The following is a 13,253-nucleotide window of genomic DNA, read 5'->3' as shown; positions in this document are numbered from 1 at the left end:
AGGCGTGAGCCACCGCGCCGGCCAAAAGCTCTTTAATTTCTTGTACCCCACCCAAAGTCCCACCCACACTCCAGGAGACAGGAAAGTATACTAGAAAAGGCAGATGCTCCCAAGTCAGAGAGCCCTGGGTTTGGATCCCAAGCAAGTTACTTTCACCTTCCTGAACCATTTCCTTGTCTTTAAACTGAGGCTTACATTTAAATGCCTATCTTATAGAATCAATATTAGACATAAAAAACCTAGTTGAGTAACGGGCACATAATAAGGGCTCAATAAATCACAGCTACTATTATTGTCATTATTAGTATAAATAGGCTAGAAAATGTCTTGTGTAGACTCTTTTTATTGCAAAAACTACACATATCTCTAATATAACCCTGACACCCCTCCCCAAAAATATAATTTTAAAATATGAGAATAAACAGATGCAATTCTGATTCTTAAATGTCTGAACATTTCAAGCCAAACACCTACTGGGTACCTACAAGATATCTACTGCTACTGCTGCTGTTTCTGTGAGGACAACCACTCCATGTTCTATGCTTTAAAAGAAGAGCTGGTTTTTTGAATGTAAATATAAACAGAGCAGACATAAGCCTGAAGGACCAAGTGTGTGAGACTCTACAAGGCTTGAACCAACCATAGGACACACTGAGGGGACTCCAGAGAGATTTGGATTAGCCTTACTACCATCACTGATGGCAGTGAACATGGTATGCCTCCATCTTCTCAAGCCCTGACAGGGCCAAAAGGAGGCTTCTTCTTCCACACTATTCTTCCACTGAGGATCCTTGGCTTCTCCCTCCCCTCCCCTCAAAGACAGACTCTTCTACACCAAAGCCCTCAGCCAGATTTCATGGACTTACTGTAAACCTCAAGTCCACAATCAACAAGCACGGCCATACTGTCAGTTCACAAAACAGGCAGAGAAAAAGAAATTCAGTAAGGAGGGGGACTAGGGGGAAGGACACACCTTATTCAAAATGCAAAAGAGGGACATGTTCTAGTAGCTCTAACTGGGAAATCAAGGAAAATTCATGCCTCCCTCTGTCCTCACTGCAGGATTAAAAAAAGACAAAATGTAGATGACAAGAAAGTAGCCTATGAATGATTATTAACACTTTGATTTGAATCTAAATAAAGTCTTTTTATTCTTCTCCATCTGCAACTGTGCCATTCCCACTCTTCTATCCCTAGGCTCCTAGGTTACTTTCTTAGGACTGCCATAACGAATTACCATGAATTTCAGGGCTTAAAACAACAAAAATTCATTCTTTCTCAGTCCTGGAGGCTAGAAGTCCAAAATCAAGGCGTTGGCAAAGCCATGCTCCCTGGGAAGGCTCTAGGGGAGGATCTTTTCTTGCCCCTACCAGCTTCTGGCGGCTCCTGGCAATCCTTGGTGTTCTTTGGCTTATAACTGCATCACTCTAATATTTGTCCCCAACTTCCCACGGCCTTATTTGGGTCTCTATGTATTTTCTCCTCTTCTTATACACACCAGTCACTGGATTTAGGACCCACCCTAAGCCGATATGACTTCACTTTAATTTAACTAATTACTTCAGGAAAGATCCTATTTCCCAATAAGGTCACCATTCTAAAGTTCCAGGAAGACATGAATTTTAGAGGAACTCTATTTAACCCTCTCCAACTGCCATGTCAAAAATAAACCCCCACCACCAAAATATGGGGCATAGTGGAGGGAGGTGAGAAACCGATATAGCATTACAGAATTACAAAAAGTTCAAAGTTACAGTAGTCTCCTGTAGATCCATGACTATTCATTTTTGAATTGGAAATAATGTTGTTCTTACTTTTTACCTTACCTTTCTCTCTTACCTGAGAGCAATATACATACATACATTTCTCTCACCCATGAGCAACTGTGAAGCTTTGGAAAATATCAAAAGTCCCAATCAAAATAGCACTAAAACACAGAACATCCCACTGATCCAGACACGTGACTACTCTGTAAAAATTTGGTGTTAGGTATAAATGAACATGTAGTATCAGGAACTGAGTAGCAAAAAGATGAAAGGCAGGGGAGGATATTTTTCAGTTAAAAGCACTCTCATTTAATGATCTAGGAGTGGGAAGTAAATCATGGGTCTTAGAAGACCAGGGTTTCCTTTAAAACACTTGCTTTAAGTTTTTAATCTCCACACCCCCTCTCCTAAATTTTCCTTTTCTAATGATGACAATAAACTTACATGGAAACACTATATATCAGAGTTCTTTAAAAAATAATCAAGGTATTATTTTAGCTGTGTGGAGAAAAAAATACTTGACATCAGCTTAAAGACTTGTGTACTCCCTCTGCTGGCTCTGAATTTAAAGTAAATTCTCAATACCTTCAAGGGCTAACTTAACTAACTTCACTAGACATCTGAAATACAAGGAAGGCTGGTTGCAGGGGCTCATGTTTATAATCCCAGCACTTTAGGAGGCCCAAGTAAGAGGATCGCTTGAACCCAGGAGTTTGAGACCAACCTGGCAACAAAGTGAGACCTCATATCTCTACAAAAAAAACATAAAATTAGCTGGGTGTCGTGGCGCTCATTAGTAGTCCCAGCTACTAGGGCAGCTGAGGCAGGAGGATCATAGCTCTCTACAGAGAGAGCCAGGAGTTTGAAGCTGTGGAGAGCTATGATTGTGCCACCGCACTCCAGCCTAGGTGACAGAGCAAGGCCTTGTCTCAAATAAAAAATTTAAAATAAAAATACACAAGGGAGCCGGGTGCAATGGCTCATGCCTGTAATCCCAGCACTTTGGGAGGCCGAGGCAGGCAGATCATGAGGTCAGCAGATCAAGACCATCCTGGCTAACACAGTGAAGCCCCGTCTCTAATAAAAATACAAAAAATTAGCTGGGAGTGGTGGCGAACGCCTGCAGTCCCAGCTACTTGGGAGGCTGAGGCAGGAGAATGGCATGAACCCAGGAGGCGGAGCTTGCAGTGAGCCAAGATCACGCCACTGCACTCCAGCCTAGGCGACAGAGCGAGATTCTGTCTCAAAAAAAAAAAAAAAAAAAAAAAAAAAAAACCACGCAAGGGAAAACATGATGTGGATTCTTCCACCCCACCCCACCCCCTAATGGTTTTCAAACAAATTCCTAAACACGTACTGAAAACTGCCAAACACATCTCTGTTGGGTTTACTATAGGTTCACTCCAGAAGGAAGGTAATGTATGCTGTTTGTTTATTTGTTTGTTTGGGGGAGAGTTTACTTCCTGCTCCAGCCTTGCCCCCTACACATGTGCCACATGCTTTCCTTACTCTGTGCTCACCTCTCCACTGCAGTCCTAGGGCACATCTGGACACCAAGGTGTGGTGAGCCTCCAGAAGATAACCTGGCCTCCTCACCCCAGGCAATGACCCAGGAGTAGCGGAATTACTAGAAGAACCACAGCCCAGCAGAGAAGTCATCCTCTTCGCTTATTATGTTATTCCATAGTAGTAACTGAGGCACTGCAGAGAAAAAGTCTCAAGATTAAAACCTCAAAAACTCAGGAGTGAAAAGTGGAACAAGCGAATTATAGAAAAGCCTGGCTTGAAACACACTCCAATCAGACATTTCCGTTTTACCAAGAGTGGTACATCACAGTACTCTATGGATGCCAGCTACCGTAGTTCTTTTTCCTTTAGGAGAGACTAAGATACTGGGAAATGAACGTTGTTTGGTCAGGAATAAAATGGTGAAAGATACTGGGTCTGTCTGGGCAATGATGCAGTCAGAACTGGGGTGTTCTATCATCATCACTAGCCTAACCACATATTCAGAACTCTAACTTGGAAGAACTGCAGACTGGTCCTTGAAATAGTTCATCTCAAAGACTGTCTGCTATCTCCTCTCCTTTCATACATGACTTCTATTTCCCAATCCATGGACAGAAAACTTGAAGTACATTTGGGACTTCTGCCCCAAAATGCAGAACATTACAAACAACTAAGGCTTTACATAACAGCTTTGTTCCTAAAAGTGAGTAAAATAAACTTTAGGCAAAACAATTCTATGGTGACTTTCTCGACACTGCATGTTGATGATACAAATAGCGGGTTTACATACAGATGGCAAACTTCATTTCCTTTTTCTCTTAATGCAACAAGGTCATCCCAAGATCAGGCTTCCTTCAGTTTCTGTGGTAAGTAGTGATGGACACTTATGGAGTTTTCAGAGACTTATGCATTGGGTAACAAGGCACTGCAAGAAACCCCAGATAGCACAGCATCATCTCACATTTACACCACATCACATCAACATCGATGCTAGGAGGTCTAAAGCTGATGCCACCTTCAGAGCTGCAAGTATCCAAAAGACTCCACTCATGACACCAGCTCACTCCTGAGTCACATCAGCCCCTTTCAGAGTCACAGCCCCAGAACTAAGGCTATCCATATGGGTTGATTATAAAATCCAAAAAGCAGCTCCAAATATTAGAAACACTTATTTGTCTGGCAGACACATTCCCTAATTTAAAGCCTCTTATACTGTGCTTAAAAATATTCAACAGTCTTAGCAAAATGACAAAATAAACAGGTAGCAGCCATGGGGTGGGCAGGGTAAGGTGGCGTTGAAAGAAAAGGCATTTAGCAAGGTAAGTAGAGAGTGCTGATGGAGAACACAAAAGGAGAAACACAGCGACTCCAGTGCGAGCTAGCCTAGAAGAGGGGAGGAGAAGCAGAAGACAGCAAGTGAAGAGCTTGAAGAACTTGAGGCAAACAGCACTGAGATGAACAGCTGTGAAACCACAATGGTAGGCAGTAGACACTACAGTACAGTGGTATGAACACACGCTTTAAAAAAAAAAAAAAAAGAGAGAGAGAGGGTCTCACTCTGTCATCCAGGCTGGAGTGCAGTGGTGCAGTCGTGCTCACTGCAGTCTCAAACTCCTGGGATTAAGGGATCCTCCTGCCTCAGCCTCTCAAGCAGCTGGGACTACAGGCATGCACCACCACAACAGAGCTAATTTTTTTTTTTTTTGAGATGGAGTTTCGCTCTTGTTACCCAGGCTGGAGTGCAACGGCACAATCTTGGCTCACTGCAACCTCCGCCTCCCAGGTTCAAGCAATTCTCCTGCCTCAGCCTCCCTAGTAGCTGGGATTACAGGCATGCGCCACGATGCCCGGCTAGCTTTTTGTACTTTTAGTAGAGACAGGGTTTCACCATGTTGGTAAGGCTGGTCTCGAACTCCTGACCTCAGGTGATCCACCCACCTGGGCCTCCCAAAGTGCTGGGATTACAGGCATGAGCCACCGCACCTGGCCTAGTTTTCTTTTTTTCTGGTAGAGACGAGGTCTCACTTTGTTGCCCAGGCTGGTCTCAAACTCCTGGCCTCAGGCAATCCTCCTGCCTTGGCCTCCCAAAGTGTTAAAATTATAGGCATGAACCACTGCACTGACTGGACACACCCGTTACTCCACCCCTACTAGCTGTGGAACCCTGAACCCAGTCACTCACATAGTCCTAGCATGTTTCTCACCTGCAAAATAAGGTAGTTAGATGATCTTTAAGATCTCTTTTAGTTCTGAGTTTTAGGCAACAAGTAATACAGATGAGTCAGTGGCATCAAGGCTCCACATCCACTCCAGAGGAAGGCCAGATCTACATCAGGCCCTGGGAGACAGAACTGGGGATCCCAGATCAGTCCAGGGCCAAAGATGTGCTCTATCTAATCCAGGTGGAGCTTGGAAAACCAAAGCTTCTCCCAAACAGACCCAATCCACAGGAGCCATGGTACGGTGGTTTTGCATCTCCAAAGCAAGCTCAAAATGATCTGCAGAGAGTTAAAGGCTAGCTCCAAGCCATGCCCCACATCAAATTTGCCACTTCCCAGCAACTTCTTAGCAGAGTTGAAGTACTAGAGAAAGCAGAAATACAGATGTAAAAAAAAGGCAACGGGAATAGGCAGCAATGACAAATTCACAAAGCACAGATATGCTATAGCTTATTTTCTGTCTCCTCCATCAGAATATGAACTCCTGTGAGTGAACTGGAACTTTATCTGCCTTCTGCTACCACTATATCCCTAAGTCCTGGCAAATGCTCTGCAAGCAGCATGCCTTTGATAAACATTTGTTGAATACATGAAATGGGATGTGATGCAAATGGGTAAAAAGGGTTTTCTCTTTCCAATCTTTCATTCACTTACTGTATACCAGCTGTAACATCCACTGATATCAACTCGTCTTTGCATTTATGATCCCCAGCTCCTTTTATAGCACCAAAAAGGTAAAGTGGCTCTTCAGGACCCCTCAATTTGTGATGCAGGAAAAGGAGAGAAATGAGGAGTTGAGAATAGGGTCAAGTCTGTCCCTATAGGCAAAATAAGTGGGTATACAAACAAAATAAATTCCATATTCTCTCCAGCCCTGGGAATCTGGAATCTGATGCACCTGCTCTGGGTAAGTGGGGCAACCTGCCAGAATGCACAGGCCTAAACAGTCTTTAAAAAAAAAATAAGATGGGGTTTTGCTATGTGCCCAAGCTGGTCTTGAACTCCTGGGCTCAAGCCTAAACAGCCTTATCTTTGCATTTTCATGAAGATCTTTGAATGGATGGTAAACTTTTGCCAGACCAAATTAAATGACTTATTAGTGAGACAAGGCCTCTTCATTAATTTTCCAAATAAAAGTATCTTGCAGGTTTTAAGTAAGAATCACAAGCAGAGTACTAAGAAGTTTAACTAAAAGATGTTCTTGTATGGTGTCATTTTCTTAAAATAGAACACTCCTAAAATCTCCTAAAAATAAGTCTGCTGTAGTTTCATTTCATTTTCTAAGAAGGAGATAAACATATCAAAACACACACTTAGCTTCTTTTTTAAAGAGTCTCTGTTACATGGGACTCACAGATCAAAGTCTAAAAGGGCCAATTTCTTCACTTCAGAGGTCAATGACACAGCTTTGAAAAAGAGGAAAAACAGTCCCTCTAGTGTACTGGGGCTGTAGAAAGAGGAAGTATATTAGTTGAGAATCACTGACGAAGACACTATTGCCAAAGGAAATTACAAAACGACATTTTGGCAACACGGGCCAAGCAGACAGATTCTTCACACACGACCATAACTGGCCTTTTGGTGAGTTACTCCAAAAGGTGACTGAGGTCAAAATTATGAGCCAATGTGGAATGATTATGACTTAGTCATTTTCAAATTAAAAAAAAATTTAAAACAGAGTTGCAGTTAAAATAACATTTTCCTAATACAGTGTGTTGAAAAGGAACTGGATGTATTAATCTAAAGAACAGAAACAGTGAGGACACAAATAAGCATTATGTGACAGGACAGCCCTCATCTTTTTATCTTGGCAAGAAGCCATAACAATACACATTCTTACATGAAAGAAGACTCGGACTCTTGAAGAATTATCTTCTGCAGCAGCAGCAGCAGCAGAAATCTTAACACAGTATCCCCCACACTTGTGAAATTATGGGAACCACTACAGAAACTCAAGTCTGCCTAATTTGATTACACCCTGACCCATGGGAAAAGCAGATGTGTGCTGTGTATAACGAAATAAGTGATAGATAGGCCTTACCAGGTAAGCCCTGGCGTCCTTAGAGGTCTCCCCAAGACAAGAGGAACTGAGAGAACTCACTTGTTCAATCATGGGTGCAGTGCAAGCTTAATCTGAATTAAAGGAAATGTAACCTTTTCCCCTCTTAACCACATCTGATTGTTCATTTCTACTTTAATGCCCGAGGTAAGGGAACCTGTGAGATAGTCATCATCCTTCTCCCTGACACAGTATCTGACAAATGTAAGTAACCAAGGGCTTCCTCTTTTTGTTAAAATGCTATCCTTCTTACCTCTTTTATCACTTCATAGTTCCTAAGTACCCCTACTGACAGGCACTGGACAGCTATGCAAACATGATACACTCACTCAGCCTCCATCTACATTTGCCCATCCTTTTGATGCTGAAATAATAAGCAAGATGTTTTTAGATTGAGAGGCAAATAAGCCTTTCAGGAAAGCAAGCGCTACTTATGTGAGACTATCCATTACCTAGCAAATGACCTTTTAAAAAAGATCAATTTAAAGAAGAAAATGGAAAACAAAAACCTCTAGAACTGTGGCTACTAATTACCTCTCTACTAACTAGCTGTGTGATCTTAAGAAAGTCATTAGCTTTTCCAAAAATCAGGTTTTTCACCAGTAAAATAAGAGGGTTGAACTAGATCAGAAAACTTCATCCTAACTATACATTAGAATCACCTAAGAAACTTGAAAAAAAAAAACAAAACACAAAACCATCAATGCTAAGCCACACACAAGCCAAATTATATCAAATTCTCTGGGTATTTGTATTTTTCAGAAGTTCCCAGGTAATTCAAACATGCAACCAGGGCTGAGAACCACTGATTTAGATTCTGATCTCTAAGTCCTCTTTTCTAATTCTTTCATTTTATGATGTTAGGGTGATAATTTTGGTTACAAGGTCTCATAATGCAATGGCCCAAATAGCCTGAAAAGAAGTAAGGCCCTGCATACCGTGCCCTTTATGCACACATGACTAGGAGACGTTAACCTGAATTCTAGACATTTTTGGAAGTTAAAAATCCTCTTACATTACTCAGAATGAAAGTAGTGTGGTTTAAATGCACATGCGTGCTTCCAAAATGACTAATCATGACAAGAATCAACTCCTAAACTTGGACACTTGGAAATGGGTCACAATTAGCTCCTGATCTCTCCCTTTTCCCTCTTCTTCCACTAAACCACAAGCACACACAAAAAAAGGTTGCCTATTAGTCATAATCAAAATATAAAACCAGCTCCAGTTTCAAAGGGCCTTCTCCATCATCAAAGATTTGAAAGTTCCTGCATGGCTGCATCTTTTGATGAAGATCATCTTATAAAAACTCTAACAAAATTATATCCCTTTAGTCGTCAAGGATTAGTTGTCATGTGACACTCAGAAATGGAATTGGTAAAAAATTTTAAGGTAAAAGAATCATAAAATGTGTGCCCTGTATTAAGCATATTAAGCCTTGAGAATTTCAATTTACAGTATTTTCTAAGATTTTAGTTGAAGAGAAATGAGATAGCAGAGAAGGGTAAAAAAAAAAAACCATAAGACAAAAAAACGATGACATAAAACCATAAAGTTTATGACTAGTCCCAAAATCTGTATTGCAAGTCCTACAAACTATATGAAAATGTATCTAGCCCAATCTCAATTCGCGGCTACTTTTGGTAATACCATTATCTCATGTAAATCTTCCCCCCAAAAATAAAGTTCATTAAACTTATTATATTTAACTATAAACAAAATAACAAGAAATATTTGTGAAATTAAATTATTTTTGTAACCTTAAAAATCACAGGAAAGGTGAAAACGCCTTCCTACGTTAACGTTTTAACTAAGTTTAAAGTTAACTAACTTTTCACTAACGTATTCTCCTCACCAAATTCAAACATGCAAGACTAAATTTCAAGTGAGAGAAATCTGAAAAACATTTCGAACCCCCAAATCCATGTTCTCAGATCCTGTCCGCTTACGCCTTCCTGATACTATACACTGATTAACCCTTCCCATCCACTTGGAAACCCAGTTTTAAAACATATCACACTAGTGCTCTTTTCAAATGGAATTGTCTAACTTTCATCCTTTCTGTAAAGAACTCTCGTATCATACACCTGGCATTCTTTTACAAAGCAATTGAATTAAACCAAATATAAGACTCATAATGTAAGCATTTGTTAAAAGAAATGAGACACATTAGTGGATTAATATCAAAGCACACGTGTTTTGCTTTTAAAGTATCTAATACAAAGCCTCTCTGATATAAGCCGTATTTAACTTTGCAAGGGTTTTCTAGAAGCAAAATAAAACATTCTCTACATTAAGTTCTTTAACTTTTTCATCTACAGGCTCGTCTCCAGTGCTTCCATTGAATTCTCCACTAAGATTAAACTGTTCTTATTTTTATACCTCCTGAAACCCAGGAAGACAGAGGGCTCCCCAATGACAATGAAGAAAGGGAAGGAGGAAGCAACTACTTCTTTTACATAAAACAAAACAAAAAAAAATCTAAGCTAAATTGCAAATATGGGCAGCTGATAAGAGATGTATATCTCCAATCGCACAGGACTCTTTGGCCTGGTACTGACACACACTGTCTTGGGGGAAGGGGCCAGGGAGGTGCCTAGGAAGAGGAAAGCAGCTGGATATCAGCAGCCCAGCAGGGGCAGAGGAGTTAATCTCTTTGGATACCCAACTGCAGGAAGTCATTACATCATAGGCCTTTCCACACCTCTCTCCCTACCACGTGTCCCGTGCCCCAAGAGGATGATAAGGAACGGTAGAGAGTCTCTCTTCGGGTTCATTTACAGGTAGAAGCCATTACGGCCCGGCCCAGCCCCCAAACCTCCTCCCAAACGCCAGAGTGAATGAAGCGCAGGCCCCGCGTCCCCCACACCAGAGCCCTTCCCTCAAACAGTGCCTGAATCCAGGCCTCGGCGGGAGCAGCGGGTGCAGCCAGTCTGGATTGAGGTGGCCAGACCGGCCGGTTCGAGGCCCCAGAACATTTCAGAAGCAGCTAGTCAGAAGCAGGTTTACTGGAGCGACATCTCCGAGAAGAAAAGGTATCAATATAGGCAAGGAAAGGAAGCCGTCCAGGAAAAGGTTTGCAACCACTGCTTTTTCTAATCGGATCGATGTGCCTGTAGGTGTTAACACCCACAAGCTGAAACTTGGACCCGAAGGTTCTCATTCAGCTAGTGACGACGCAACATGCTCCTGCGACAGACTGGAAACCACACATCCAACCCCTCCTCCAGACACTGCGTCCCAAACACCCCCACACCTCTCACTCCAGCCACAGCGCCCGCACCAGACCCCCACTACGGTAAACTCTACTCCAAAGTTGGCTGCGGACCTACCTCCTCGGTGCTGTCCGGAGAATCCAGCAAATGTACTCCTGTCCGTTCGCCCTTCCCTCGCCGGCGTCCCCTGCCCCCTCTCCTCACCTGGCCATGCCCCAAGCTTCTGGGGAGCCTCATTCACCCCTCCGAGACCGTCCCCAGGTGCCCCGACTCCGGGGATCAAAGATAACCCCCAAAGCCTCGCAGCGGAGGCTCCCCCTGCCAACCCCTTGCCCTGGAGCCCGCAAGCGCACTCCGACGAATCCGAGACGCGTCTCGCGCTGCGCAGGAGGCCCGGCGGGTCCTGCTGCCAGCCCGGGGTGGGTACGCACCTTCCAGCCGGCAGAGCTGTTGCTGTCGCCCTTATCCTTGAAGTAGGGCACGCAACGCACCATCCACTCGTAGATCTGGGACAGAGTGAGCCGTTTGTCCGGGGAGCTCTCGATGGCGCGGGTGATCAGGTCCGCGTAGGACAGGTTTCCCCAGGCGTTCCGCCGCGACGAACATTTCCTCGGCTGCCCGGAGCCCCCAGCCGCCCCCGGCTGCGGCGGTGGCAGCGGTTGCTGAGGCTGCAGCAGCGCCTGTGTACCCCCGCTCAGCCCGCCCGCCGCGGTGGCTGGCCCAGACCCGGGGTCTTGCCCTCCGGGTGCCAGCACCCGGGCCGAGTCCTCAAGGAGCAGCCCGGAGCCCAGCGTGCCGCTCCCGCCGCCGCCGCCGATCGCCATGGCCGAGCCGGCCCGTCCCCCGCCGTCCTCGTCGTCTTCATCGTCCTCCTCCTCGGGGATCATGGAGTCGGCGGCCGTCTCCCCCGAGGGCTTGGCAGGGCTCGCTTGGAGCTCCGGCCTTTGCAGGGGCCACGTACAGGATCGCGGACGGCTCTGGGGCTCGAACTCCGGGTCCAGCTCCACTTCGAGCGGAGAGAGCGGGGCCGGGGAAGCCGGTGCCTCTGCCATCTTCGCCGCCCGCCCGCCCGCGGCTGGGGCTCTCGCGCTCTCCTCTCGCGCCGGGGCGGGGTGCAGCGGGGGAGGGACGTGGACGCCGCGAAGGCTCCGGCTCCCGGGCGCCGCCGCCGCCGCCTGGGGAAGCACCAAAGAAGAGAGAAGGAGAGTTGGTTATCCCGGGCCGGAGCCCCGTCCTCGGCGAGTCCTCGCCCGCTGCCGCCACCTCCCAGTCCTGCCGCGCCCGCCTCCCAGGAACAGGAGGACCTGAAGACGTGCGGCCAGCGAACCTGGCGCAGCAGACACCGCCCCCCGGCCAGGCCGCGATGGAGCCGCGAGCGAATCGACGGCCTCGCGCGGGGCAGCCCCCTCCCCCCGCCGCCCAGCCGCAGGTCCCTCCCGGGCTAGGCGGCGGGGCGGGGAGAAGGGGGAGGGGCGCCCGGGGGAGGGGCGGCCGCGCCTTTAAAGCGGGCAGCGGCCGGAGCTGGCGCAGCCGAGCCGCGGTCAGAGCCCGAGCTCGGGTGTGCGTGCGTTTGTTTATGTTTCGCTCGGGCCCGCTCTAGTGCCTCCCGCGGCGCCGCCGCTCAAGTCTGTGCTGTCTTCGGCTCTTCTCCCCTTTCCTAGCCTGGCCGCCTCCGCGACCCCCCGTCACCCCCCACCCGGTCGAATGGCCCGAGCCCGGGGACTGCGCGGGCAGCTCCCTCTCCCCTCTTCGCCCGCGGGCCAGAGGGCGAACGGGGGTCTGGGCGCAGATGGGCCCTTGTCACTTCCAAAAAATAAAGGAAAGACAGAAAGAAGGGGGAGCAGCAGCCCAGCGGGTGTTCGCAGAGGTTCGAGCCCGGCGGGGACGGCCACTTCGGGGTTTTGTGTGGTTTGCATTCTCGCGGACGTCGTCCCCTCCGCCCCCTTCCCAGTCGGGATCCGGGGGAGGGAGCGAGTCGGAACATAAATCTTCCAACAGGTCGGGAAGCGCCAAGTCTCCCGGGCTGCTAGAAAACCCGGACCAGCACGTTCATCACCTCCTTGCTCCCGCTGCTGCCATCTTGACAGTTTCCCCCTTCCCGAGTCCTTTAAAAACACTAGCGGGCGAGAAGGGGGGCGCGCACACCGCGGCTCAGGGAGGGGAAAGGGAAGCGCCCGGCCCAGCTCGGAAGCAGATCCGGAGTCACCGGGAAGGCGGCCGCCCGCTGCACGGCTCCGGCGCCTACCTCGCTTCCTTCCCTTCAGGGACGCGGCGGGACGACGCACGATCCCGCGCGGGCCCGGGGCACGGCGAGGAGGGGGCGCGCAACCTCGGCGAAGGAGAAGCGCTCGGGCCGTCGCCGCAGCCCGCCCGAGGAACCGCCTGTCAGCTCGCGCGCCGCCACCTTCCACATTCCTCCTCCTCCCTTCCACGAGCAGGGCGGCCGCGGCAGCAGCACAAAGTTATAGACACACGCAGGGCGCCT

At 47.1% G+C, this 13,253-nt stretch overlaps 1 protein-coding gene across 9 annotated transcripts in view, besides 4 other annotated features; it reads right to left on the bottom strand.

Annotated features, from left to right (window-relative positions):
* FOXO3 (forkhead box O3) overlaps positions 1–13,204 on the bottom strand; it is a 124,950-nt gene extending 111,746 nt beyond the window's left edge. For 3 of the 9 annotated variants that reach the window (NM_001415140.1, NM_201559.3, NM_001415150.1), the window contains exons 1-2: positions 13,014–13,204; positions 11,200–11,943 (exon numbers count right to left, since the gene is read on the bottom strand). Coding sequence is in view for 4 of the 9 variants with exons in the window: in NM_201559.3 (NP_963853.1) it covers positions 11,200–11,820 (621 nt within the window). In the remaining 5 variants the exon portion in view is untranslated. Of the gene's footprint in view, positions 1–3,286; positions 4,797–5,479; positions 5,858–10,885; positions 12,113–13,013 lie in introns of those variants that run through there. The other 6 variants (XM_017010585.2, XM_017010586.2, NM_001415146.1 and 3 more) reach the window with 5 other exon arrangements.
* Positions 7,329–7,398: an enhancer, noted in NCBI's record as "active region_24915". NCBI's record gives its function as "activates an Ori minimal core promoter by ATAC-STARR-seq in GM12878 lymphoblastoid cells {active_cell/tissue: GM12878}" and the evidence as "EXISTENCE:reporter gene assay evidence [ECO:0000049][PMID:35858748]".
* Positions 10,029–10,323: an enhancer, noted in NCBI's record as "tiled region #14072; K562 Activating DNase unmatched - State 1:Tss, and HepG2 Activating non-DNase unmatched - State 1:Tss". NCBI's record gives its function as "activates a minimal TATA promoter and a strong SV40 promoter by Sharpr-MPRA in K562 cells, with weaker activity in HepG2 cells {active_cell/tissue: K562 | HepG2}" and the evidence as "EXISTENCE:reporter gene assay evidence [ECO:0000049][PMID:27701403]".
* Positions 11,135–11,635: an enhancer, noted in NCBI's record as "H3K27ac hESC enhancer chr6:108882597-108883097 (GRCh37/hg19 assembly coordinates)". NCBI's record gives its function as "activates a minimal SCP1, AML or CMV promoter by ChIP-STARR-seq in naive H9 embryonic stem cells {active_cell/tissue: H9 hESC(naive)}" and the evidence as "EXISTENCE:reporter gene assay evidence [ECO:0000049][PMID:30033119]".
* Positions 12,079–12,298: a silencer, noted in NCBI's record as "silent region_17454". NCBI's record gives its function as "represses an Ori minimal core promoter by ATAC-STARR-seq in GM12878 lymphoblastoid cells {active_cell/tissue: GM12878}" and the evidence as "EXISTENCE:reporter gene assay evidence [ECO:0000049][PMID:35858748]".

This window comes from Homo sapiens, chromosome 6, assembly GCF_000001405.40.
Source record: "Homo sapiens chromosome 6, GRCh38.p14 Primary Assembly".
In the NCBI taxonomy this organism is placed as follows: Eukaryota; Metazoa; Chordata; class Mammalia; order Primates; family Hominidae; genus Homo; species Homo sapiens.
Note: the sequence above shows the minus strand (reverse complement) of the source record. Positions and strands in the feature narration are given on the sequence as shown.